This window comes from Homo sapiens, chromosome X (assembly GCF_000001405.40).
Source record: "Homo sapiens chromosome X, GRCh38.p14 Primary Assembly".
Classification (NCBI taxonomy): domain Eukaryota; kingdom Metazoa; phylum Chordata; class Mammalia; order Primates; family Hominidae; genus Homo; species Homo sapiens.
This window is the reverse complement of record NC_000023.11, coordinates 107562652-107590156: the sequence shown is the minus strand read 5'-3', so window position 1 is coordinate 107590156 and position 27505 is coordinate 107562652. Positions and strand designations below refer to the sequence as shown.

At 44.3% G+C, this 27505-nt stretch overlaps 1 protein-coding gene across 8 annotated transcripts in view, besides 2 other annotated features; it reads right to left on the bottom strand.

Moving 5' to 3' along the window:
- The window catches only part of FRMPD3 (FERM and PDZ domain containing 3), a 155600-nt gene that overhangs the window by 15095 nt on the left and 113000 nt on the right, over positions 1-27505 (bottom strand). For 7 of the 8 annotated variants that reach the window (NM_001388459.1, NM_001388462.1, NM_032428.2 and 4 more), the window contains 3 exons: positions 26957-27046; positions 25091-25270; positions 13698-13842 (listed from right to left, as the gene is read on the bottom strand). In NM_001388459.1, coding sequence (NP_001375388.1) covers positions 13698-13842; positions 25091-25270; positions 26957-27046 — 415 coding nt within the window. The remainder of the gene's footprint in view (positions 1-13697; positions 13843-25090; positions 25271-26956; positions 27047-27505) is intronic. The other variant, XM_017029902.3, reaches the window with a different exon arrangement.
- Positions 25673-26470: an enhancer, noted in NCBI's record as "NANOG-H3K27ac-H3K4me1 hESC enhancer chrX:106806917-106807714 (GRCh37/hg19 assembly coordinates)". NCBI's record gives its function as "activates a minimal SCP1, AML or CMV promoter by ChIP-STARR-seq in naive H9 embryonic stem cells {active_cell/tissue: H9 hESC(naive)}" and the evidence as "EXISTENCE:reporter gene assay evidence [ECO:0000049][PMID:30033119]".
- Positions 26471-27266: an enhancer, noted in NCBI's record as "H3K27ac-H3K4me1 hESC enhancer chrX:106806121-106806916 (GRCh37/hg19 assembly coordinates)". NCBI's record gives its function as "activates a minimal SCP1, AML or CMV promoter by ChIP-STARR-seq in naive H9 embryonic stem cells {active_cell/tissue: H9 hESC(naive)}" and the evidence as "EXISTENCE:reporter gene assay evidence [ECO:0000049][PMID:30033119]".

Sequence of the window (27505 nt, the reverse complement as noted above, 5' to 3'; positions counted from 1 at the left end):
TTTGAGATGGAGTCTTGCTCTGTCGCCAGGCTGGAGTGCAGTGGCATGATCTCGGCTCACTGCAACCTCCCCATCCTTGGTTCAAGCGATTCCCCTGCCTCAGCCTCCTGAGTAGCTGGGACTACAGGCGCACGCCACCACCCCACCCAGCTAATTTTTTGTATTTTTAGTAGAGACAGGGTTTCACCATATTGGCCAGGCTAGTCTTGAACTCCTGACCTCAAGTGATCCACCTGCCTTGGCCTCCCAAAGTGCTGGGATTACAGGCGTGAGCCACCATGCCCGACCTCAATTCTATTTTTATACACTAGCAATGAACAACCTGAAAATAAAATCAGAAAGCCCTTCTATTTACAATAACATAAAAAAGAACAAATAGTTATAAATACACTTATTTTTTATTATTTAAATCTTATTTTACTTAATAATTTGTCTTTTTAAAATTTGACTTTGTCTTTTAACTAGTTATGAATTTAAAAAGGAGGACAGCGCAGGGTCAAGATGGCTGACTAGAAACAGCGGCAATCAAGTTTCCCATGGAAAAGAACCATAAGCATGTGAATCCTTTAACGGCAACCAACATATCCAGGTTCTCTCATCAGAACTGACTAGTAGGTTGGCATGATCCATGGAGAGGAAGGAAGAATAGTGTGGTCAGGTGGCCCACCTGAGAGCCACACAAGGCAAAGGAGCCCCCATCCCCCAGCCAAGGGAGGCGCCTCCTTGAGTGACATCTCCAGGTGCAGGAGTGAACCAGATGAATAGGGCCTGACGTGAACCCCCAGCAAATAGCAGCAGCCGTACGGAAGAGGGACCTGACCATTGAAAGAAAAACAAACAGAAAGCAACAACAGCATCAATAACAACAGCATCAACAACAACAAAAGCTCCCACCAAAACCCCATCCAAGGGTCTTTGAGGCTTCAAAGATCGAAACTACACAAACTCATGAAAATAAGAGAAAAACAGTGAAAAAAAGCTCAAAACTCAAAAGGCCAGAGTGCCTCTTCTCCTCCAAATGATCACAACATCTTTCCAGCAAGGGCACAGAACTGGATGGAGGATGATAAGAACGAATTGACAGAAGTAGGCTTCGGAAGATAGGTAATAAAAAACTATGCTGAGCTAAAGGAGGATGTTTTAACCCAATGCAAAGAAGCTAAGAACCTTGATAAAAGGTTAGAGGAGCTGCTAACTAGAATCAGTTTAGACAGGAACATAAATGACCTGAGGGAGCTGAAAAACACAGCACAAGAACTTCATGAAGCATACACAAGTATCGATAGCTGAATCAACCAAGTGGAAGAAAGGATATTAGAGTTTGAAGACCACCTTGCTGAAATAAGGCATGCAGACAAGACTAGAGAAAAAAGAATGAAAAGGAATGAACAAAGCCTCCAAGAAATATGGGACTCTGTAAAAAGACCAAACCTACAATTGATTGGAGTACTGCAAGGAGACAGGGAGAATGGAAATAAGTTGAAAAACACACTTTCGGATATTATCCAGGAGAACTTCCCCAACATAGCAAGACAGACCAACACGCAAATTCAGGAAATACAGAGAACACCACTAAGATACTCCATGAGAAGATCAACCGCAAGGCTGGGTGCAGTGGCTCACGCCTGTAATCCCAGAACTTTAGGAGGCTGAGGCAGGCAGATCACCTAAGGTCGGGAGTTTGAGACCAGCTGGACCAACATGGAGAAACCCCATCTCTACTAAAAATACAAAATTAGCCAGGTGTGGTGGTGCATGACTGTAATCCCAGCTACTCGGGAGGCTGAGGCAGGAAAATCACTTGAACCTGAGAGGCGGAGGTTGTGGTGAGCTGAGATTGTGCCATTGCACTCCAGCCTGGGCAACAAGAGTGAAACTCTGTCTCAAAAAAAAAAAAAGAAGAAGAAGATCAACCACAAGACACATAATCATCAGATTCTCCGATTCTCCAAGGTCAAAATGAAGGAAAAAATGTTAAGGGCAGCCAGAAAGAAAGGCCAGGTCACCTACAAAGGGAAGCCAATCAGACTAACAGCAGACCTCTTAGCAGAAACTCTAAAAGGCAGAAGAGACTGGGGGCCAGGCTGGGCGTTGCGGCTCACACCTGTAATCTCAGCACTTTGGGAGGCCGAGGTGGGTGGATCACTTGAGGCCAGGGGTTCAAGACCAGCCTAGCCAACATGGTGAAACTCTCTCTCTACTAAAAATACAAAAACTAGCTGGGTGTGGTGGCATGTGCCTGTACTCCCAGCTACTCAGGAGGCTGAGGCAGGAGAATCACTTGAACCCTGGGGACAGAGGTAGCAGTGAGCCAAGACTGTGCCACTGCACTCCAGCCTGGGCAATGGAGTGAGACCCTGTCTAAAAAAAAATATTGAGGACCAATATTCAACATTCTTAAAGAAAAGAATTTTCAACGCAGAATTTCATATCCAGACAAACTAAGCTTCACAAGTGAAGGAGAAATAAAATACTTTCCAGACAAGCAAATGCTGAGGGATTTTGTCACCACCAGGCCTGCCTTATAAGAGCTCCTGAAAGAAGCACTAAATTTGGAAAGGAAAAACCGGTACCAGCCACTGTAAAAACACACCAAAATATAAAGACCAATGACATTATGAAGAAACTACATCACCTAGTGTCCAACATAACCAGATAGCATCATGATGACAGGATCAAATTCACACATAACAATACTAACCTTAAATGCAAATGAGCTAAATGCCCCAGTTAAAAGACACAGACTGGCAAATTGGATAAAGAGTCAAGACCCATGGGTGTGCTGTATTCAGTAGACCTATCTCATGTGCAAAGACACACATAGGCTCAGAATAAGGGGATGGAGGAAAATTTATCAAGCAAATGGAAAGAAAAAAAAAGCAGGAGTAGTAATCCTAGTCTCTGACAAAATAGACTTTAACACAACAAAGATCAAAAAAGACAAAGAAGGGCATTACATAATGGTAAAGGGAATAATTCAGCAAGCAGAGCTAACTATTCTAAATATATATGTACCCAAAACAGGAGCACTCAGATTCATAAAACAAGTTCTTAGAGACCTACGAAGAGACTTAGACTCCCACACAATAATAGTGGGAGACTTTAACACCCCATTGTCAATATTAGACAGATCAAAGAGACAGAAAATTAACAAGGATATTCAGGACTTGAACTCAGCTCTGGATCAAGTGGACCTAATAGACATCTACAGAACTCTCCACCCCAAATCAACAGAATATATATTCTTCTCAGTGCCACATGGCACTTATTCTAAAATCAACCACATAATTCGAAGTAAAACACTCCTCAGCAAATGCAAAAGAACTGAAATCATAACAAACAGTCTCACAGACCACAGTGCAATCAAATTAGAACTAAGGATTAAGAAACTCACTCAAAACTGCACAATTACATGGAAATTGAATAACCTGCTCCTGAGTGACTCCTGGGTAAATAATGAAATTAAGGCAGAAATCAAGAAGTTCTTTGAAACCAAGGAGAACAAAGAGACAATGTACCAGAATCTCTGGGACACAGCTAAAGCAATGTTAAGAGGGAAATTTATAGCATTAAATGCCTACATCATCAGAAAGCTAGAAAGATCTAAAATCGACATCCTAACATCACAATTAAAATAGCTAGAGAGGCAAGAGCAAACTAATCCAAAGGCTAGCAGAAGACAAGAAATAACTAAGATCAGAGCAGAATTGAAGGATATAGAAACACAAAAAACACTCCAAAAAAAAAAAAATCAATGAATCCAGGAGGTGGTTTTTTGAAAAAATTAACAAAATAGACCACTAGCTAGACTAATAAAGAAGAAAACAGAGAAGAATCAAATAGACACAATAAAAAATGATACAGGGGATATCACTACTGACCCCACAGAAATACAAACTGCCATCAGAGAATACTATAAACACCTCTATGCAAATAAACTAGAAAATCTAGAAGAAATGGATAAATTCCTGGACACATACACCCTCCCAAGACTAAACCAGGAAGAAGTTGAATACCTGAATAGACCAATAACAAGTTATGAAATTGAGGCAGTAATTAATAGACTACCAACCAAAAAAAGCCCAGGACCACATGGATTCACAGCCAAATTCTACCAGAGGTACAAAGAGGAGCTGGTACCATTCCTTCTGAAACTATTCCAAAAAATTGAAAAGGAGGGACTCCTCCCTAACTCATTTTATGAAGCCAGCATCATCCTGATACTCAAACTAGAAAGAGACACAACAAAAAAACAAAACTTCAGGCCAATATCCCAGATGAACTTCAATGAAAAAATCCTCAATAAAATACTGGCAAACCGAATCCAGCAGCACATCGAAAAACTTATCCATAACAATCAAGTTGGCTTCATCCCTGGGATGCAAGGCTGGTTCAACATATGCAAATCAATAAATGTAATCCATCACATAAACAGAACCAAAGACAAAAAAACACATGATTATCTCAACTGATGCAGAAAAGGCCTTTAATAAAATTCAACATCCCTTCATGTTAAAAAATCTCAACAGACTAGGTATTGATGGAACATATCTCAAAATAATAAGAGCTATTTATGACAAACCCACGGCCAATATCATATTGAATGGGCAAAAGCTGGAAGCATTCCCTTTGAAAACCAGTACGAGACAAGGATGCCCTCTCACCGCTCCTATTCAACATAGTATTGGAAGTTCTGGCCAGGGCAATCAGGCAAAAGAAAGAAATAAAGTGTATTCAAATAGGAAGAGAGGAAGTCAAATTGTCTCTGTTTGCAGATGACATGATTGTATATTTAGAAAACCCCATCATCTCAGCCCAAAAACTCCTTAAACTAATAAACAACTTCAGCAAAGTCTCAGGATACAAAATCAATGTGCAAAAATCACAAGCATTCCTTTACACCAACAATAGACAAGCAGAGAGCCAAATCATGAATGAACTCCCATTCACAATCACTACAAAGAGAATAAAATACCTAGGAATACAGCTAACAAGGGACATGAAGGGCCCTGTCAAGGAGAACTACAAACCACTGCTCAAGGAAATGAGAGGATACAAGCAAATGCAAAAACATTCCATTCTCATGGACAGGAAGAATTAATATTGTGAAAACGGCCATACTGATCAAAGTAATTTATAGATTCAATGCTATTCCCATCAAACTACCATTGATGTACTTCACTGAATTAGAAAAAACTAGTTTAAATTTCATATGGAATCATCAAAGACCCTGTATAACCAAGACAATCCTAAGCAAAAAGAACAAAGCTGGAGGCATCATGCTACCTGACCTCAAACTATACTACGAGGCTACAGTAACCAAAACAGCATGGTAGTGGTACCAAAACAGACATATAGACAAGTGGAACAGAACAGAGACTTCAGAAATAACACCACACATCTACAACCATCTTATCTTCATTGAACCTGATAAAAACAAGCAATGGGGAAAGGATCTCCTATTCAATACATGGTGCTGGGAAAACTGGCTAGCCATATGCAGAAAACTGAAACTGGACCCCTTCCTTACACCTTATACAAAAATTAACTCAAGATGGATTAAAGACTTAAATGTAAAACCCCAAATCATAAAAACTCTAGAAGAAAACCTAGGCAATACCATTCAGGACATAGGCATGGGCAAAGATTTCATGACAAAAATGCCAAAAGCAATTACGACAAAAGCCACAATTGACAAATGGGATCTAATTAAACTAAAGAGCTTCTGCACAGCAAAAGAAACTATCATCAGAGTGAACAGGCAACCTACAGAATGAGAGAAAATTTTTGCAATCTATCCACCTGACAAAGGTCTAATAACCAGAATTTACAAGGAACTTAAACAAATTTACAAGGAAAAAAAACAAACAATCCCATAAAAAAGTGGGCAAAAAATATGAACAGACACTTCTCAAAAGAAGACATTTACGCGGCCAACGAACATATGAAAAAATGCTCAACAACAACAACAACAACAAAAAACAAAACAGGGCCAGGCGTGGTGGCTCACACCTGTAATCCAAACACTTTGGGAGGCCAAGGCAGGTGGATCACCTGAGGTCAGGAGTTCGAGACCAGCCTGGTCAACATGGTGAAACCCCATCTCTACTAAAAATACAAAAATTAGCTGGGCATGGTGGCAGGCGCCTGTAGTTGCAGCTACTCGGGAGGCTGAGGCAAGAGTTGCTTGAACTCAGGAGGCGGAGGTTGCAGTAAGCCGAGATCACGCCACTGTACTCCAGCCTGGGCAACAGAGTGAGACTCTGTCTCAAAAAAAAAAAAAAAAAGAAAGAAAAAGAAAAAAATGCTCAACATCATTGATCATTAGAGAAATGCAAATCAAAACCACAATAAGATACCATGTCTTGCCAGTCAGAATGGCGATTATTAAAAAGTCAGGAAACAATAAATGCTAGTGAGGCTGTGGAGAAATAGGAATGCTTTTACACTGTTGGTGGGAGTGAAAATTAGTTCAAACATTGTGGAAGACAGTACGATGATTCCTCAAGGATCTGGAACCAGAAATACCATTTGACTCAGCAATCCCATTACTGGGTATATACCCAAAGGAATATAAATCATTCTACTATAAAGATACATGCACACGTATGTTTATTGTAGCACTATTTACAATAGCAAAGTCATGGAACCAACCCAAATGCCCATCAGTGATAAACTGGATAATGAAAATGTGGTACATACACACCATGGGATACTATGCATCCATAAAAAGGAATGAGATCATGTCCTTTGCAGGGACATGGATGAAGCTGAAAGCCATCATCTTCAGCAAACTAACAGAGGAACAGAAAACCAAACATCGCATGTTCTTACTCATAAATGGGAGTTGAACAATGAGAAAATATGGACACAGGGTGGGTAACAACACACACCTGGGCCTGTTGGGGGTGGGGGAGCGAGGGGAGGGAACTTAGAGGACGGGTGAATAGGAGCAGCAAACCACCATGGCACATGTATACCCATGTAGCAAACCTGCACATTCTGCACATGTATCCCGGAACTTAAAGTAAAAAGAAAAAAAAAGAAAAAGAAAAAAAGAGAAAAAGAAAAAAAAGACGTGCAAAATTTGTACACTGAAAACTATACAACATTTATGAAAGAAATTAAAGGAGATTTAAATAATTGGAATATATTCTCTGCTCATGGATTGGAAGACTCAATCAATATTGTTATAATGATAGTACTTTCCAAATTGATCTATAGATTCAACATAGTCTCTATTAAAATCCCAGCTGACTTTGTCAAAATTAACAGCTAATTCAAGAATTAATATAGAATCACAAGAGACCCAGAATAACCAAAACAGTCTTGAAAAAGAAGTACAAAGTAGGATGACTCACACTTTCTGATTTCAAAATTCATTACAAGCCATAGTGATCAAGACCATAAAGTGGTGGCATAAGGATAGACGTATAGATCAAGGCAGTAGAATTGAGAGTTCACAAATAACCTCTCACATTTATGGTGAAATAGCTCAATTAAAAAATGGACAAATGATTTGAATAGATATTTCACCAAAGAAGATATACAAGTGGCCAATAAGCCCATGAAAAGATGTTCAACATCATTAGCCATCAGGAAACTGTAAATCGTAAACATGAGCTACCACTTCACACACACTATGACAGACATATTAATAAATGAAAAGATGGTCAGGTGTGGTGGCTCACGCCTATAATCCCAGCACTTTGGGAGGTCAAGGCGGGTGGGTCACTTGAGGTCAGGAGTTCAAGGCCAGCCAGGCCAACATGGTAAAACCCCATCTCTACTAAAAACACAAAAAAATTAGCCAGGTGTGGTGGCACATGCCTGTAATCCCAGCTACTCAGAAGGCTGAGGCAGGAGAATTGCTTGAACCCAGGAGGCAGAGGTCGCAGTGAGCTGAGATTGTGCACATGCACTCCATTCTGGGTGACGGAGTGAGACTCTGTCTCCAAAAAAAAAAAAAAGATGGACAGTAACAAGTGTTGGTGAAGATACGGTTAAAATTTAACCCTCCAATATTGCTGATGGAAGTGAAAAATGGTACAGTCTCTTTAAAAAACAATTCGGCAGTTCCTCTAAAAGTTAAACATGGAGTTACCATTTGACCAGTAATTCCATTCCTAGGTATATACTGGAGAGAAAGGAAAACATATGTCCCCATAAAAACTGTCCCCATATAAACATGAATGTTTATAACAACATTATTCATAATAGTCAAAAGGTGGGAAAAAAACAAATGTCTATCAACTGATGAATGGATAAAGGAATGTGGTATATCCATACAATAGAATGTTATTCATCAATAAAGAGGAATGAAGTACTGGTGCATGCTGCAACATGAATGACCCATGAAAACATGCTAGGTGAAAAAAGCAAGTGACAAAAGACCATATATTTTATTATTCCATTTACACAAAATGTCCAGCATAGGCAAAGCTATAGACTGAAAGTAGACCAATGGTTGCTTAGGGCTGGGAGGTGATTAGGAGGGAAATAGGGAGTGACCGCTAATGGGTACAGAGTTTGTTTTGGGAGGGGCAAAAAATGTTCTAAAATTAGATTGTGATAATGGCTGTATAACCCTGTGAATATATTAAATATATTAAACAAAATTGTATTGTGCACTTCAAATGGGTGAATTTTATGGCTTCAAAATTATATCTAAACAAAGCTGTTTTTTTTTTTTAAAGCACAGCTCTGGGCACATGATGAACTCTCAGTCTTTGAAAAAACAGCAAAAGGCTAGGCGTGGTGGCTCATGCCTGTAATCCCAGCACTTTGGGAGGCCGAGGTGGGCGGATCACCTGAGGTCAGGAGTTTGAGACCAGCCTGGCCAACATGGTGAAACCCTGTCTCTACCAAAAATATCAAAAAATTAGCCGGGCATGGTGGCGGCCACCTGTAATCCCAGCTACTCAGGAGGCTGAGGCAGGAGTATAGCTTGAACCCAGGAGGCAGAGGTTGCAATGAGCCGAGATCATGACACTGCACTCTAGCTTGGGCAACAACAGTGAGACTCTGTCTCAACAAACAAACAAACAAACAGAGCAAAAAAGGGTACTCTGTATTGTGAAGGGACTTTAGGTGGTTTATCTCACACAATCCTGTCAAATTCCTCATGAGGTAGGTAATAGTATTATCCTCATTTTACATATGAGGAAACTGAGACTAAGTTTCTGGCATTTAGTTATGATCCCATAGCTAAGATATGGCAAAACAGGGACTGGAACCCAAGTCTCTGTGACTTCAGATCTCTCTTGCAATTTTCCATAGACCATGTTGCCGCTTTAAATACAGAATCAATGAGTGGGGTTGGTTCAGGCCTTACTGGGCTTTACTGTATCTAGGGAACTCTGGGTCAGTTGGAGAAATATTATTTAATTACCCTCCATCCAGGCCTCTGAGACTTAGGGAATAAGTGCTCCGGAGGAGCAATCAGCCAGGAGTATGAACTATAAGTTCATTATGTCTCTCTACACCAAGACATTGTCCACAGGTCCTGGGGATGTACCAGGTGCTAACTACGTATGAGACAGCTGAGCAATCAGGATAGCCAGCCTGGCAATAAGCTGCCATCAAAGGTGGCTCCCAGTGGCATGCCCAATAAGAAGATGGTGACTCCTCTCAGGCAGAGGCTGGAGTTCTAAGGGTGGCTTCCCTCCCTGCAAGATGGAAACATCTCTAAGCACTAGACTGTCAAGGCCAGGTAATGCCCTGTCCACCACTTGGTACCATGACTTCCAGATCAGAGGACAAAATGTGCTTGAAGAATCCCAAATCTCCTCCTGGCAGAAGATTAGAAGTGCCAGTAAAATGCCAGGTGTGGCTGGCTGATGGTTCAGGACAGTATGCCTCCCATATTGCAAATATGTTGTAAATTGCTCATCAGCTTTCCCCAAGGGGATTGCCCTAGTCTATCCCTCTGTACTCAGTCACTCAGAAGACTGACTAGAAAAAAATGCTTGCAAAGAACAGGAGGGTGATTCAACTGGAGTTATGTTTGAAAATATATGCAGCTTATTTTTATATATATAAACATACGGTCTGTGTGACATTGACTCAGCCAGCATTCTAGTACTTGGCCCTGCTCTATTCTATAGTCCAATAATCACTGGTCATAATGACGACCTAGAGGCCTTGCAAGAATCTCATGTTCTTTCTGAATCACCCAAAACAAGTCTACTACGTTCAGTCTTACTTTAGTACTCTGTACATTTTGCTGGGTTTTAACTACATGAAAATTGGTAAGCCACTCATGGGATATATAGTAGCCATTAACCAAAATATTCAATTCATCAGACCAAACTGTTTTCTAACCATGGTAGAAAACGTAGAGTGAGTTCCTCCAACTGAGGCCCTCAAAGCCTTTTTTTCCTGGATTACCCCAGGATACAGAGAGCTCAGGGCTGCAGAAAGATGGTAGCTGCCTTTAGATTGCCCACAACCTCATTACAGATAGAGAACTGGCATTTTTCTGGACCTTTCTCTAAGCTCAAAGCCTTTCTGGGCCCTCAAACCCAGGCGCTGCTCTGTTGTATCTATTGAATCTCTTATATATAAATGCAAAAGTACTTACGTTATTAGCCTTATCCTTTTAATCATCTGTCAGTATTTCCCCTCTACTAGATTGTAACCTATGTGAGGGCAAGGATCATAAGGACTATGTCTGTTATTCATGGCTGCTGCTTCTGCACCTGGCACATGATGAGTGCTTGATTTGTTAAGTGAATAAGTGTAGTACCTTTGGTGAAGCTACTGATAAAGCCCAAGAGGGAGTCCCTTCCCTACCATGTCCCCATTCTCCTTTTTTTTCTGAGACTTGAAGGAAGGTGATGTTTTCACTTTCCCAGTTGCTGGTTTAACTTCATCCTTTAGGCCCAATAGGCTGAGCCCTGAGTTGGACTTGCTGACAGCCAGTAGCTGCTGTGGGACAAGAATAGAGCTGGCCAGACCTCTTCCTCCCTTTTCTGAGAGACCAGGACCTAACCAGGCTGTGGCTTTGGACCCTGGGGGAAAAGCCCAGATAAGGTTGGGAGGATGCCTATTCCCTATTGGCCTTTGTTAAGGAACAACAGTTGGCATTGGGGCTTCTGTTCTGGGATGAAAGTAAGGGCTGGTGTAGGAAACTGATCTCAACTTCGGACCTTGGTCCTAAAAGTCTACAATATCAGGAACGGATAATCCCTTCACTGTAACCTGAGCTGAGGTCTCCTCAGTTGTGCCCTTCCCTTCTTAGCGGCCATGAGACAAAATGTGCACACCAAGTCCTAGAACTTTGCTGGGGCAGTGGCAGCTCAGTGAACCCAGGTAGAGCTGTGAGGCTCACTCTGCCCCACTCCACCCACCAAGAGCACCTAACAGTTCAAAAAGCTAAGTAACAGGGCCCAAGATTTAAACCATGTACCTAGGGAGATGATGCCTAGTTCAAGTTCTCATGTTTCTGGCCAGAAGAGATGGCGAAGGAAGAGCAGAACTTTCTGTAGGTCTCTGCCCCTAAGCTGATTATTTCTACCCCAAGAGGGAGAAGTACCACAAAAACAGAGACATCACAGTGGTCCATCTGGCTCCCGCATGGACACAGAGGCCCTGTGCTAGAGGCAACATGAGCCCCCATCATTCTGCAGGCCGAAGGCGGATCTCAGAAGTCAGGAAGGTGGTGGGGGGTGGGGTGTTTTAAAGCCACACCTAGCCCATAGAGAATGCAAGAAAACAGATTTGCCTTTGGAAAAGCAACATGGCATGTTGGAATGTGTTCAGTGAGGCTGCACTGAAGCACATATCCCTCTTGTGCTTGGTGCCACTATCCCCAGAGCAAGGGGAATACTTGGGGCCAGCATTGGCTAGGGTGCTGATGGGATGACAAAAAACTGTTTGTTAGGTAGGGTGGGACTACAGAGCCACCTCCAGTGCCTTCTGAAAGTGGATTCCCTCCAAATAATCTTCACTGTCACATTTGGTCTTTGGCTGGGCTCCAGGTTCTTCACTTTATCTTCCCTTTTCATTTTCTCCCTCTCTAGCCTGTTCAGTAGGAGGTATAGTTTACTTGGATGTGATTAGAGAGAGGAAGAGCAGAAGTGACAGTGATAATGCTAATGCTGGCTTTTTCATCATTCGGCCATCTGTAGGTTTGCTAGTATGGCCGCCCCTTCAGAGCTGTTCACCTGGAGACTTGAAGCAACTCAGCCCCCTGGTTTCTTACTATCCTAAGTCAGCTCCTTTGCTTTTCTATGTGGAATCTCCTTCATATGCCTTGGGGCCACCTATCCTTTCCCAAATCTGTGTTTGGTGCATTGCCATTTAGTTCCTATGGACAATGTCATGAGATGTAAACTCAGGCATGTCATGATGATCGTGATGAAGAGACAAGAGGTGAGAAGATGTGTGTGGGTGGGGGGTGTCCACAGCCTTCTAGGTCTGGGCCATCCATCAGGAGTATGTGTCTGCTCTCAAACACCTCGATCGAGATCTGATCTGACTACTGTTTGTTTGTTTGTTTGTTTTTGAGAGGGAGTTTTGCTCTGTCGCCCAGGCTGAAGTAAAAAGGCGGGATCTCGGCTCACTGCAACCTCTGCCTCCAGGGTTCAAGCGATTCTCCTGTCTCAGCCTCCCGAGTAGCTGGGATTACAGGGACCTACCACCACACTTGGCTTTTTTTTTTTTTTTTTTTTTGAGACAGTCTCACTCTGTCACCCAGGCTGGAGTGCAGTGGCGTGATCTCAGCTCACTACAACCTCCGCCTTCTAGATTCAAGTGATTCTCCTGCCTCAGCCTCCCAAACAGCTGGGACTATAGGTCCACACCACCACGTCCAGCTAATTTTTGTATTTTTGGTAGAGATGGGGTTTCACCATGTTGGCCAGACTGGTCTCAAACTCCTGACCTCAGGTGATCTGCCCACCTCAGCCTCCCAAAGTGCTGGAATTACTGGTGTGAGCCACCATGCCTGGCCTATTTTTTGTATTTTTTTTTTTTTTTTTTTTTTTTTTTTAGTAGAGACAGGGTTTCACCTTGTTAGCCAGGCTGGTTTCAGACTCCTGACCTCAAGTGATCCGCCTGCCTCAGCCTCCCAAAGTGTGATATGACTACTCAGAAAACCACAGCCTTGAAGAAAGAAATAGTCAAGCAGCAAGGGCAAGTGGGTTGAGAGTATTCAGCATGTGAGGAGAGCAAACTACTGGATGTCAGTCTCAGCTTCACTCATTATTTCTGGGTGCTGGGGTTGGGGAGCACTTACTGCATCTACATGAGCCTTAGGTCTAATATGTGAAGTACCTGTTCTTTGAGCCACCTCCTTTTCATCAGACCTTTATATTCATTTTCATCTTCACTTCAACTGAGCCAGAACACCTGTAAGTTTCCTCTAGATCTCTGCACCGCTAAGTTTGCCTTAGATCCAATGCAGCCATTTAATTGGCTCTATTTATCATGTTTGCTATTTTAATAATACATTCATTGGCTGACTCAATCACAATGTTGTCACAGGTATCCTTTGTGAAACAAGTACATGTGAAGGCCAGCTGTCTTTCCCACTGGGCTGTGCCAGCTAGGATATAGTGGTACAGTGTTGGCTCCTGGCAAATCAGGCACTGTTGGCACGGGGTGAGCACTAAGGCAGAGAAGCTCTTCCCTCCATGTCTTCAGGGTCCAAAGGGCCTCTGGCACAGCAAAAACCAACCGAGGTTGAGCCCTACCTGCCTTGATCATTGGAGGTGGAAGTGGCTGGCTGGCAGGCCTGGAGAAGACCATCTTCCTGGAATCCAGCAAGAGGCGGCAGTACCCCGCGATCAGGCAGGCAAAGTTGGTGGCTTCAGGCCACTCCATCAACAGCACCAGAGGCTGCAGAAGAGAAGGGAAGAAACATGAAGACATGGGAAGGAGGGAGGCAGATGCATTTTCAGAGGCATGGTAGCTAGCAAAAGATGACTTGCATAGTTAAAGGAACCATACTGTCTGAACCAAAAATTGAGGCACATGGCTTGACAAATAGTTTATTCTGATTTGAGAATTTCTTTGTAATAACCTCTTACCCAGGTATCAAAATTAAATCAACCTTTAATTATACATTTAATGAACCACCTTTGCTGAAAAGGACTAAAATTATATAACCTCATGTGACTGCTGTGTAGCTGTATTTGTGTTTGCCAGGGCTCAGCAGATACACAGGCCAGCCGGGAGAGCGGGGTAAAGCTGGGAATTTAGATTAGACTTCAGAATGGCCTAGAACACCCTCGATTCTAAGTCCCTTGGGTGCAAGAGCTATGTCTTGCTCATCTTCACATGCCCCTGTAACACCCAGAACACCTCCCTGGACATGGAGGAATCTCTGTGGAATCAAGTTGTAACTCTGCCTTTTGGGCCAAAGTCTTTCTGGCCTGCAGCTCTGCTCAGAGCGTCATGCTCGGCCCGGCGCGGTGGCTCATGCCTGTAATCCCAGCACTTTGGGAGGCCGAGGCAGGAGGATCATCTGAGGTCAGGGGTTCGAGACCAGCCTGGCCAACATGGTGAAACCCCGTCTCTACTAAAAATACAAAAATTAGCCTGGCGTGGTGGCAGGCGCCAGTAATCCCAGCTACTCCAGAGGCTGAGGCAGGAGAACTGCTTGAATCAGGGAGGTGGAGGTTGCAGTGAGCCAAGATGGCGCCATTGCACTCCAACCTGGGTGACAGAGTGAGACTTCGTCTAAAAAAAAAAAAAAGAGTCATGCTCTATCCCCTTTCCTTTATTTCCCTGTGTCCTTGAGATATTGTTAATTGGTGCTTATTAAAAGAGCTCCTTAGTCAAATATGTTTGTGACATTGGGTTAAATAACACTATGCAGATAGTTTTACTATGAGAATTCATAAGACCCTTTAATATATAGTTGTGCACTGGGAAACCTCAAAAGAAAGGCTTTAATATTCTAAGTTTTCTGAATTTATTAGACCACAAAGATCTATTTTTATAGAAAATCTCATGGTAACAAGGTTGTTGTTGTTGTTAACCCACCTTGGGAAATACTAGCATACATTGTTGACTTCTGTTCCTAACTCTAAATCAGTCAGATTAGTCCTGGGGTTAACTGGTTAACTGCTTCAGAGACCAGGCAATGCTATTCAAGAAAATCAGCACTATTTCAAGAAAACCTCCTAGTATCTGTATTGTAATTTTAACTATGGCTTGACCAAGTTTGAGTCAGACTGAAGTCAGCCTTGGGAACATTCTCCTTGGAATAGGGCAGTGGTTTCCAGATAAAGATCACTGAAGACTGGCTAAAGAGGGAGCCATGGGGCTGTGGGTCACCCAGACCAGGCATTAAGAAATAGGAGAATTAGGCAGAGGAAATGAGGCCCTTCTCTGACCAATGAGGAGGCTACTGCAACAGTCTAGGAGAGAGGTGGTTAGGGCCTCCACTAGGGTGGTGGCTGGTCCAGTGAAAAGGAAGGGACATTATGAAGACCTGACAGAACTTGATCACTAACTAGATTAGCCTTCCTTGGCTGAATCACCATTACCTTGGGCTCAATTCTGATTCCAAACCAGCTCAGCTGTTAGCTAAAGTTGCAGTGGTTTTCTTTTTCCCAGGATTCCAACACAGAGCCTGAGTTGAATATTTTGTAGTTCATATAGGCCAGGGGTCAACACACATTTTCTATAAAGGGCTAGTGAGTAAATATTTTAGGCACTGTGGGCCATACGGGCTCTGTCACAACAACTCTGCCATTGTACATAGTGTGGAAATAGCCACAGATAATCTGTAAACTAAACAAATAGGCATGACTGTGTTCTAACAGAACTTTATTTACAGAAACAGGCAGTGAGTCAGATTTGGCTCATGGGCCATAGTTAGCCACCTGATCTAGAAGTGAAACTTCTTTTTTGCCTTTTTTTTTTTTCAATAGAGACAGGGTCTCACTATGTTGCCCAGGTTGGTCTTGAACTCCTGGGCACAAGTGATCCTCCTTGGCCTCCCAAAGTGCTGGGATTTACAGGCATGAGCCACAGCGCTCGCTGAAGTGAAACTTCTTTACAGCTAGAAACAACTGTATTCATTCATCACACATCTCAAGTTATTACATTTGCTAACAGCAATCACCTTCTTTGGAAATTCTTCTCTTGGCTTCTGTTTCTGTGAGATGTGTTCCGGTTCTGTAATCTGACCATCTTCATCTCTCTCTTTGGTTGGTTCTTCATGTGCAACCTCCTCGCCCTAGCTATATCCTAGGCTCAGTCTACAGCCCTCAATTCTTCTCCATCAGGGTGTCTGCTTTAACCTCTATGCTGGAGATTCAAAAATCAACATGCCCAGTCTACTCCTTTAAATTCTTTTCCTATTGCAGAAATCATATGGTGCTATGTCTATACCACACAGTCTTGTGTTGGATCAAATACTAACTTGAATTCTTTCATAGTTGTTGTACATTCAATTACAATGCATGCCACAATAAGGCATTTGGACTCTGCCCCAACTTTAAGGCAACAAGTTAGTGATGCTCCTATGGAGTTCATGCAATACCATTGGGAGGAAAAAGGAACAGTTTGTACCTTGAGGAGCAATGGCTTTTTTTTCCAGTGAGAAAGGGGCCAGAGACAGGTATTACTTTTTAGTCATTATTAGGAAGGGGTAGAAGGGACTTTCGTACCTCCAGTTAATGAATGTTTCTCAGTCACAACAGAATGGCCAAACTTGCATACAACAAAATAAAGACAAAAAAGTATGGAAAGGAAATGAACTTGGGGGGCAGGGAGTCAGATACCCCTTCTTGCTGTCTTGCTGCCACTGTAGCCCTGCCACTGATGGCAGAAGGATATACAGATACAGAGGTTTGAGTGTAAATGGCGGCTACCACGAGGGCCCAAGACTCACTAGGCTTGCCTCAGGTGTTTTCACATCGCGGCCATCCCTACTGCCACTGCTTCATTTCAGGACCTTATCATCTTCCTGCCAGATCAAAACTCCTCAAGGTACTTGTGAGTGGGTGGCCTGTGTGCTGAGATACTGAGCCTCTCGGCTTCTCAGTCCTATTGCCTTTGGCCGCAAGCTGCCTCATCTGGTATATATGTATGCCTCGTTTGTTTGTATGTTTTGTTATATAAATTGTGACATTTCTCATGATATGGAAAAGGTTGGGATACACTAACCCAAGAACCTCCAATAACCTCTTGACTGGCCTTTCTCCCTCTAGTTTCTACCCACTTGAATCCACTTCACCTCCATATTGTTGCCTGAAGATTCTTTTCTACTTTATTATTATTATTATTATTAGTAGTAGTAGTAGTAGTAGTAGTAGTAGTGGAGATGTGGTCTTACTATGTTTTCCAGGCTGGTCTCAAACTCCTGGCCTCAAGTGATCCTCCCACCTCAGCCTCCCAAAGTGCTGAGATTACAGGCATGAGACACCCTGAATGACCCTGAAGGCTTTTTTATTTTTTTTTTGAGACAGAGTCTCACTCTGATGCCCACGCTAGAGTGCAATGGCAGAATCTCGGCTCACTGCAGCCTCTGCCTCCTGGGTTCAAGCGATTCTCCTGTCTCAGCCTACCAAGTAGCTGGGATTACAGGTGTGTGCCACCACATCTGACTAATTTTTGTATTTTTAGTAGAGATGGTGTTTCACCATGTTGGTCAGGCTAGTCTCGAACTCCTGACTTTCAGTGATCCACCCGTCTCAGGCTCCCAAAGTCTGAAGGCTCTTTCTAAAGCACAAGTCTCATTGTTATTTAAAATCTTCAATAGCTCATCACCTGTAGAAAATCCAACTGCCTTACAATGGCATACAAATCCCTTCAGGACCTGGACCCAACCTCCATCTCCAACCATATCTCCCATTAACTCCACTGGTGCTCCCCTCCCATCACTGTCCCTCACCTTATACTCCAGCAATTACAAATACAGTTCCTCATGTTCCTTCACATCTTCATACCTTAACCTATGCTGTTCCCTCTGGCTGAAATGCTCCTGTGCCCTGCTTTGTCCACCCAACAAGCTGCCATAAACTGGCTAGATGCCTCCTGGAGAACATGACCAAGTGAAAGATGCATCCATTCATTCCAGGACTAGGCCAACCTAGTTCCTGCCCTCATGGAGCTTACAATCGAGCAGGAAATAAGACATAACCCAAATCAAATAACCATGCAAATAAATATGATTGCGAGGTGTGATAAGTACTTTGAGGAAAACGTATAGAGAGCTACCCAAACGTAGAATGTCCTGGAGTGGTACGTGGGTGGGTAAGTGTGAATGTGTGCGTGTGTGACTAATTTGGTTTCAGACACTGGAGACAGCTTTGAGAAAATAGCATTGGCTGACAAATATAATGTGAGACCATTTGACCAAAGTAGAGGCTGAATGGCTGGCTGACTAATGAGCTGGCCGGCTGCAGGGCAGTCTGACTCACTCATGCCCTGGTTGACAAGCCAGCTCAGGACAGACAGAATGCCTAACAGCCTCACATTCTGACCGCTGAGCTGCCTGGCTGGCTGGTTGGCTGGCTAATGGACAGAATTACTGACTGGAGGCTGGGAGAATGGCTGATTGACTTCATTGTCTGACCACTTCAGTTTCCCCTCTTACCCCCAAGATAGCCCAGTGCCAGTAATAAAACAGCACGAAAGCAAAATCCCGTGCACAGAGAGGGCCAAGCACAACCCCAGCTGGCTCAGCACAGCACAGCTCATCAGGAGCCTCTCCTTGTCATCCCCAGACAGCCAACTTGGCCCCAGCATGGGCCAAATGCAGCTCGCAGTAAAAGGAACACAAATGCACTTTTTGCCAAGAGAAAAATGAAATTTTTGCCAAGAGAAAAATGAAATTTTTGCCAACAGGTAAAAATGAAATCAAAAGCAGGCAAACAAAAAGGTTGGACAGGTTCCTTAGAAACCTTCAAAAACAATTTTTTATTTTAGATAGGATTTTAATGATCATGACGTGTAATGTAACGCTTGTCCCTACAGAGATCACTAGAGAAATAAAGCTCAAACATGAGAATAGGACACATACTGGGCCACAAGATATCCCTTGGGACATTCCTTTGATGATTTCTTTTTCCACCTTATGTGCTTCTGTGGTAATGGGGTATGGTAATGGCCCAGGTATGCCTCAGTCCCAGGCTGCCATCTCTTGAAGAAAGATATTTGAATACTACCTCATGTTTGCTCCACTAAGAGCAAGTAAGCTGAGTGAAAACTAATTAATATGCCCAGGCCATCTTCAAATGTAGCATGAGGAAAGGAGAATGGAGTTGGAGGCATGAGCCAGCCAGAAGAAGGTACAGCAGGGATTAATTTGACATGCTTCAGCTACATCTCCTTCCCAGGGTGCCCTGGGAGCTAACAGGCACTTAGCACTCTGAAATGCCAACTAGGAAAAGGATTTTCCCTGGGGTAGCCTTCGCTCACTCTAGCATCCCTGAAAACAGGAAAAGGATGGAATCAAGGGGCCTGGAGGGGAAGGGTAAAAGATGATGGTCTAGAGACCCAAGGGATCAGTATATTTGGTTCTTGCCTCCACAGCACTGGGAAAGGCTAATTGGGCACAGCCAGCCAATTTGGGGGCAAGGCAGAATATCACTTAAGGTAGTGGTTCTCAGGCCAGATACAAATTAGAATCACCTGGAAGTGGTAAAGACCTGTATACCCCTGGGCCCCAACCCCCCAGAATTCTTATTTTAAATGGTCTGGGAGGAAGAGTCTGGGCATCCAGTGGTTTTTAAATCTCTACATATGATTCTAATGTGCAGTCAGGGCTGAGAACTACTTTAAATGAACCATCTTAATTTCACCAGACCCTTACAGAATATTACCAGACCAGAGTGGCCTGTCTAGGGGGAAATGGGCCAAGTCTGGTTTCTAACTTCCATGTCCCCTGTTAAGGATGTTCAGACAGTCCTTCTTCAGTGTAACCTATGCAGTTGTGTGCTGGTAAACATTTCACAAGCAGTTCTTTCTTTCCTTTCTTTCCTTTCCTTCCTGCCTCCCTCCCCCGCTCCCCCCTTCCTCCCTCCTTCCCTTCCTTCCTTTCCTTTCCTTCCCTCCCTTCCTTCCTTCCTTCCTCGCTCTCTTTTTCTCTCTCTCTTTCTTTCTTTCTCTCTTTCCTTCCTTTCTTTTCTTTTCTTTTCTCTTTCTTTCTTTCTTTCATCTTTCTTTCTTTCCTTTTTTTTTTGACTGTCTCTTGCTCTGTCACCCAAGCTGGAGTGCAGTGGCATGATCACGGCTCACTGCAACCTCTGCCTCCTAGGCTCCAGCCATCCTCCCACCTCAACCTCCTGAGTAGCTGGGATTACAGGCGCAAGCCACCATGCCCAGCTAATTTTTGTATTTTTAGTAGAGACAGAGTTTCGCCATGTTGGTCAAGATGGTCTGAAACTACTGGCCTCAAACAATCCACCCATCTCAGCCTCCCAAAGTGCTAGATTACAGGCGTGAGCCACTGCACCCAGCCCACAGCCAGTTCTTTCAAGTAGTAATTTGTAGCATTGGCCAATTTCCCTGGTGTACATACACCCACCATGGCTGCTTTCAAACTATTAACATGATGGCACTGAACAAAGAGATGGGGAGAGATGTGCCCAGCTGGCTCTGATGCACTGTGTGAGCCAGCTCCAGCACACCACTGGCTCGGTGGGTAGATTCTTACTGAGCCCAGGGAAGCCATTCTCTAGTAAGAAGCTTCCCAACCCTGCTCTCCCAATTCCTTCCCAGAGCCACCTCTTACTAAACACAAATATTGCTGATATAAGCACCTCTAAGAAGCTTTCCTTAATACCCCCAGCCAGAATTTTGTCCTTCCCTGTACTCCCCTAACATGCTCTTGGTAGCTCTCCTATGGCACTTCCTTCTGTGTGCCATGTATTTGTGCTTTTTTTTTTTTTTTTTTTTTTTGAGATGGAGTCTCGCTCTGTCACCCAGGCTGTAGTGTGGTGGCACAATCTGGGCTCACTCCAACTTCCACCTCCTGGGTTCAAGGGATTCTCCTGCCTCAGCCTCCAGAATAGCTGGGATTACAGGTGTGCGCCACGATGCGTGGCTAATTTTTGTATTTTTAGTAGAGACAGGGTTTTGCCATGTTGGCCAGGCTGGTCTTGAACTCCTGATCTCAGGTGATCTGCCCGCCTCAGCCTCCCAAAGTGCTGGGATTACAGGCATTAGCCACCGTGCAGGGCTGTATATGTCCATTTCTATCCTACAAGCTAGGTAAGCTTTTTGAAGGCAAGGAGCCATGGTTCTCTCTCTCTCTCTCTCTCTCCCTCTCTCTCTCTCTCTCTCTCTCTTTCATTTTTGTGGAGAACAGGGTCTCACTATATTGCCCAGGCAGGTCTTGAACTCCTGGGCTCAAGTTATCCTCTCACTTGTGCCTTCCTAAGTTCTGGAACTACAGGCATGAGCCACTGCACCCAGCAAGCCATGTTTTTTTCTGTCTTTTAATTTTTTTTCTATTTTTTTGAGACGGAGTCTCACTTTGTCCCCCAGGCTGGGATGCAGTGGCATGATCTCGGCTCACTGCAACCTCTGCCTCCCAGGTTCAAGCAATTCTCCCGCCTCAGCCTCCCAAGTAGCTGGGATTACAGGTGTGTGCCACCACGCCCAGCTGATTTTTTTTTTTTTTTTTTGCATTTTTAGTGGAGATTTAGTGGAGACAGGATTTCACCATGTTGGCCAGGCTGGTTTCGAACTCCTGACTTCAAGTGATCTGCCTCCCTTGGCCTCCCAAAATGCTGGGATTACAGGCATGAGCGACTGTGCCCAGCCTCTTTATTTAAAAAACAAAAAATTCTGGAGGACTGTTGTGGGGTGGGGGGAGGGGGGAGGGATAGCATTAGGAGATATACCTAATGCTAAATGACGAGTTAATGGGTGCAGCACACCAACATGGCACATGTATACATATGTAACAAACCTGCACATTGTGCACATGTACCCTAAAACTTAAAGTATAATAATAAAATAAAATAAAATAAATTCTGTGTTTAGCATGCTTCCCAGCAACAGCAAGTTCATACTAAATGACTGTCAAATCTAAACCTTGATCTTTTTTTCTCCCTCAATCTTCCCTTTCTCTTTTCACTACAATATCATCCATTTTGCTTCTGCTGGGCACATAGTACCATTCTTCAGAGTACTTGGGACCCATGAAGTAGGCAGAAGGGCTAGGTATAATAAGACACGTGCATTGTCTGTGCAAGAGTGGTATGCAGGGGAGAATATGCACCCACATCTTACTGATTTTGCATATTTCACATCTCCTCTTTTTTTCTCATTACCACTGCTGTCCCTCCAGCACAGGCCCTTGTCCCTTCACTCCTGGACTAGTGCCATGATCCCCTCCTCACTGCCCTAGCTCGACATTAGCTTTGCTCTCCCCCATCTTGCACCCTGGTCCAAATCAACTTTTATTTGATCACCCCTCTGCTCAAAGACCTACTGTGGATTCTCACTGTTCTACCACATTGAATCTAAATTCCACAGACTGGCCTTTGAGGCTTTTAACCAACTTGTTCTGCCCACCCCCAATCTCTTCAATCTCTTTTCTCGTTATTCTCCTCTCCAGCCAAGCAACTATGCTTATCGACCTGCACATATGGCTTGCTTATTTCTGTGCTTGCTCCTTGCCTTTGAACACATCCCACTTCTCTCTGCTAATTCATGCCTATCACTTCAAGATCCAGCTTAAAACACCCTCTTGTGGGAAGCCAGATCTGATTAACTCCTTCCTGTTCTTTTGTTCCATATTCCACATCACACTTGTCTGTAACATTTACTTCATATTACTTTTTCTTTACTGATGTTTTGCTTTTGAAAAAATAACAGGTCTCATTCATTGAGTACTTACTGTGTGCCAGGCAGTATGCTAAGACATTTTATGTACATTTTTTCATTTAATACTCACAACAGGCCGGGTGCAGTGGCTCATGCCTGTAATCCCAGCACTTTGGGAGGCCGACTTGGGAGGACTGCTTGAGCCCAGGAGTTCAAGACAAGCCTGGGCAACATAGCAAGACCCCCATCTCTAAAATTAAAAATAATAATAATAATCCTGATAAAAACCTTTTGAGATAGGCATTCCATTTTGCAGTTGAGGGAATCGGGATTCAGAGAGGTTAAGACACTTTCTGAAGGTCACACAGGAAGGCTGGGATTTGAGCCTTGTCTGATTCCAGAGCTCTATACATGTTCTGATATTGTGCTTTAAAGGCAGGTCATGTGTCTTTGTGAATCTAGTCTCCCCAATGACAATGTAGCCTCTCCAGGGCAGCATTCATTCCCACAACTGTGGCTGGATCACCCCTAGAAATAAGCATAGTGCTCCTCACTCAGACAACACCCACTGATCCCCTGTTCAGCCTGTTTCCTCCCAGAGCTCTGGTAATACAGGTCTCAAGCCTGTGCATTCTCAAAGTGGTTGCATTACACAGTCACCTAGGAAACTGAAAAAAATAAATAAATCCTGATGCCTGGGTTTCACCCATGACCAAAGAAATCATAATCTCTGAGAGTAGGACCCAGGCATCTGTTTTTTTCTTAAAGCACTTAAGGACATTCTATTGTGTAGTCAATGTTGAGAATCACTCAGAACATAGAAGACTCAGTTGGAAAGCTGTGTCTCTATTTTAAACCCCTTTTATTTCTCAGGAAGCCACATCTCCCCTGCATGCCTTGTCTTCCCTGCCCCCTTCTCTGCCCGTCCATTTGGCTTTTTACCCAACAACATCTGAGGAGTGCAGCAACCATTGGTTGAGGAGGTAGCCGCAAGCCAATTAAACATCGGCTCCAAGCCAGTTCCTAAACCAATGGGAATCCTGTGAATCACAGGTGGAAAAATCAACACATTAAAGCTTTCTGGGTTTCACAAAGACAAAAATAAAGCAAATAATTTTCTCTTTTAGAAACAGCAAACACTCCACCTCTTAATCTGCTACCAATATCTCCCCCTGGGAAATCGTTTAAGAAAGGAAAGTTGCAACTCCTCTAAGAGCTTCCGCCAGCTGGCAGGCAGGCCTGCCCCCCACCCACAGTGGTCACTGGTATTCAAACAGGAGAGCTGTGGAGGGGGTGGCTGACCAAGACTGCCAGACTTTGCACAGGCGACAGCTGCTTGCCAGTCCGAAGGAGTTGATCTATGGGAATGAATCTAAGGTTCTGGAAGGGCTGGACTCTGGGAGGTGAAATAAGGACAAGGCTCTGCATGTTCCCCTTCTTCCCAGGCCCCCTCTGTTCTGTTCACATGCTCAGACACCCTCTCTTCAATGACTCAAGGTGCGTGTCCCTATGGCAGGGCCCCCCAACTGCTGTGCACATGGAATGGGTGAAGATGGGCCAAGATATTCATTCCTATAGTTTCTGGGGCAGCCAGGCAGAACCTGGGGTGGACAGAGTCTCTGGGGCTGCTACATTTACCCCAGTGTTCCACATGAATATAATTTTTTTTTCTTTTTTCTTTTCTTTCTTTATTATTACTTTTTATTTATTTTATTTTTTTTTTTTGAGACAGGGTTTCACTCTGTTGCCCAGGCTGGAGTGTAGTGGTGCAATCACAGCTCACTGCAGCCTTGACCTCTCTGGCCCAGGCAGTCCTCCCACCTCAGTCCCCTGAGTAGCTGGGACCACAGGTGTGTGCTACCATGCCCAGCTAAGTTTTGTAATTTTTTGTAGAGACAGGGTTTCACCATGTTGCCCAGGCTGGTCTCAAACCCCTTGGACTCAAGTTATCTGCCCACCTTGGCCTCCCAAAGCATGAGATTACAGGCATGAGCCACCATGCCGGCCTGTGAATATAATTTTCTGTGTGCTATGATATGAGAAAAATGGGAAGCAGTGGTCTGGGGGTAGCTCCAAGTTCTCCAGTTTCCCTGCCCTGTGCTGAAGAACTGTCTCAGGCTGATCTGACTCTCCATAGCATTCCTTAGTGCTGGCTGACCTTATTATGTGGTCAAAATGGCATGTCCCAGAGGGCTGAGAAGAGACATATTAGCCCAAAGAGTCCCAGGGTTGAACCACTTCAGAATTACTGAACCTCACCTAACAGATTCCAATTCTCTTTCTCAAGTTTACTTCTTCCTCTATTCCCAAGGCCTGTTCCTAAACAGAAGGAGGCCCTCAAAGCAGGGCTTACCTTGGCATCCATGATGCTGGTCTCCACCCGGGCCACGCCCTGGTTCTCCCGGAACAGCTGGATCTTGCTGATCTTGCTGAACTCGGACAGCACAGTGGTGAGGTTGGTTTTGAGGTCAATAACATGGCTGATGCCATGACGGGGTCCCACCAGGAGCGTGGTGGCCGACTGCTTCTCATCCTGGTGCCCAAGAATGGCAGGCAACGTTCACAGAAGGAAGGGTGGAGGAGGTGGGGAGAGGAGGCAGGAGGAGGAAATAGAAAACATGCATTGGACTCTCTGGTGGGGTCTGAAAATATCTGGGGCTCAGTGCCACAGTAGGACAACCTGGAGGGGAAAATGGTCTGGGACAGAAAATGGTTCCTGGGATAGAGCCCCAGATTATGGGTCCAAATGAACACCTTAGCCTCAGCAGCAGGTTGAGTAAAGTGCACAGGCAGAAGGGCTAGCTCAAGCAAAACCGTGAAGTAGGTGAGGTTTGTTTGGGGGCCTTTGGAGCACCCTCCCCTTCCAAGCCCCAGGGGCTTTCCATTTGTTGCTGCAGGCCATTTGAGGCCCCCACCCAGTGCTCTGCCTGAGAAGGCGGCATCCTGTGTCTGGTCTTTACCCTCCCCCCACCAACAGCCACTCAAACTTGCACTTCTCACCCAGGCCAAAAACTAAACTGGCACAGTAACTCTGCCTAAGGTGTTGAGGGTTGATTGGGTACTTCATGGCAGCCTCCCTCGTTAAGCAGAGATTTGCCTTTTAATGGGCACTCCAGCAGGTATGGCCAATAGAAATTTTAGCAGTGGTAGGTGGGTGGAAGAAAGATTTGACAGTGTATGAAGGAGGTGGGAGGGGACAGTGGGCTTTCAGTGTTCTGCAAATCCCAGTATGTAAATGGCTACCTCTCGGCCTGAAGGACTGGATTCCCTTAAGAGGTCTTGACAGATTCCTTGGAGCAATCAAGCTTGGGTCGTCTGGAGGCCCATTCCCTGGTATTAGCATCACCCTGAGGAACCTCTTGTGCCTGTCTATAGGCACTTTGATAAGTGGCTTTCCACCGATGTGCCGCACTAGCTGACAATGTGCTCCTGGGAGCAAGACAAGCACCTGGATCCAATTAGCAAGGTGATTTGAATTTCCTTTCACCAGGGTAAACTAGCCTGGGGCACAGTCTTAGGGTGGGACCAGCTGTGCCCTGCCCCAGAGCCTTGTTCCTGCAGCAAAGGTGCTGAGCAAGCAGGGGGAGAAGTAGAAGGACTCAGGAAACCTAGGGTAGGGGACTGTGGGAGTATGTGGAACAAAAATGAAATAGAGCAGGGGTTGCCTAACCATGGCCCATGGGCCAAATACCACCCACCACCTATTTTTTATGGCCCAGGAGCTAAGAATGGTTTTTAGATTTTTTAATGGTAGGGAAAAAAAATCAGAAGAGGCATGTTTTGTGACATGTGAAAAGTACATGAAATTCAAATTTTCGTATCCATAAATAATTATTGGTAAACAGCCACACCCATTTGTTTATGCATTGTCTGTGGCTGCTTTCATAATCTGACAGCAGGGCTGAGTAGTTGCCACAGTTGCCAGTATGGCCCGCCTGCAAAACCTAAAATATTTACTATCTGGCCCTTTATGGAAAAAGTATGCTGCGCCCCCAAATCGAGGAAGAGGAACAAAAAAAGGTCATGGAGGGATACTCAAAACAAATATCTCCTCCCACTTTATCATTTTGGCAGAGGCAGGGCCAGGGAGGTAAGAGGTAGAAGGAGGAGGAAGAGGAACGAAGGCCTTTAGAAATATTTGCCCCTCCTGCCCCCACACCCAAGGACAAGAGCCAACAAGGGGCTCCCTCCCCACATCCCCCAATCCTGCGCCACTGACCAGGCCTACAGTGTTGAACAAAACGCCCGTGAAGGTAGGAAGTTCATTCAGAATTCGTAGATACTGGAGCTTTGCCTGAATTGCAGAGCCCTGTGGAAAAACCCATCCAGAAATATGAGAAGCCTGAGGGGCACAGGAAAAGCAAACCCATGTTCTCAACGAGGAGTCTCAACATCCTAGGACAGGCACCAGTCAGCAAGTGACACTGTGGAGATGTGAAGATGCCCTTCTTAAAACAGCAGCAAGGTTCTAGTTTGGACAGCTCTTCCCTCTAGTATCTCATCTCCCTTTCTAAAATCTTGTCCTACCTCCTGATCTTCATTCCTAAAGTATCCAGCTTACTCATTTTGTTTTTGGTTTAATTCCAACTAACTGACGCCCCACCTAATCCATACCTCTCTCCTGAGATGTTTCAGACCCCTAGAGTCATGTACATGCTGGTCATTCCCCAGCTGGGGGTCCCACTCAATACCGTTCATACTAAGCATTCCTAAGTCCCAAGCCTGCACTTCAGGCATTCCTGGTCTATATCAGCATCCCCTGGGCAAT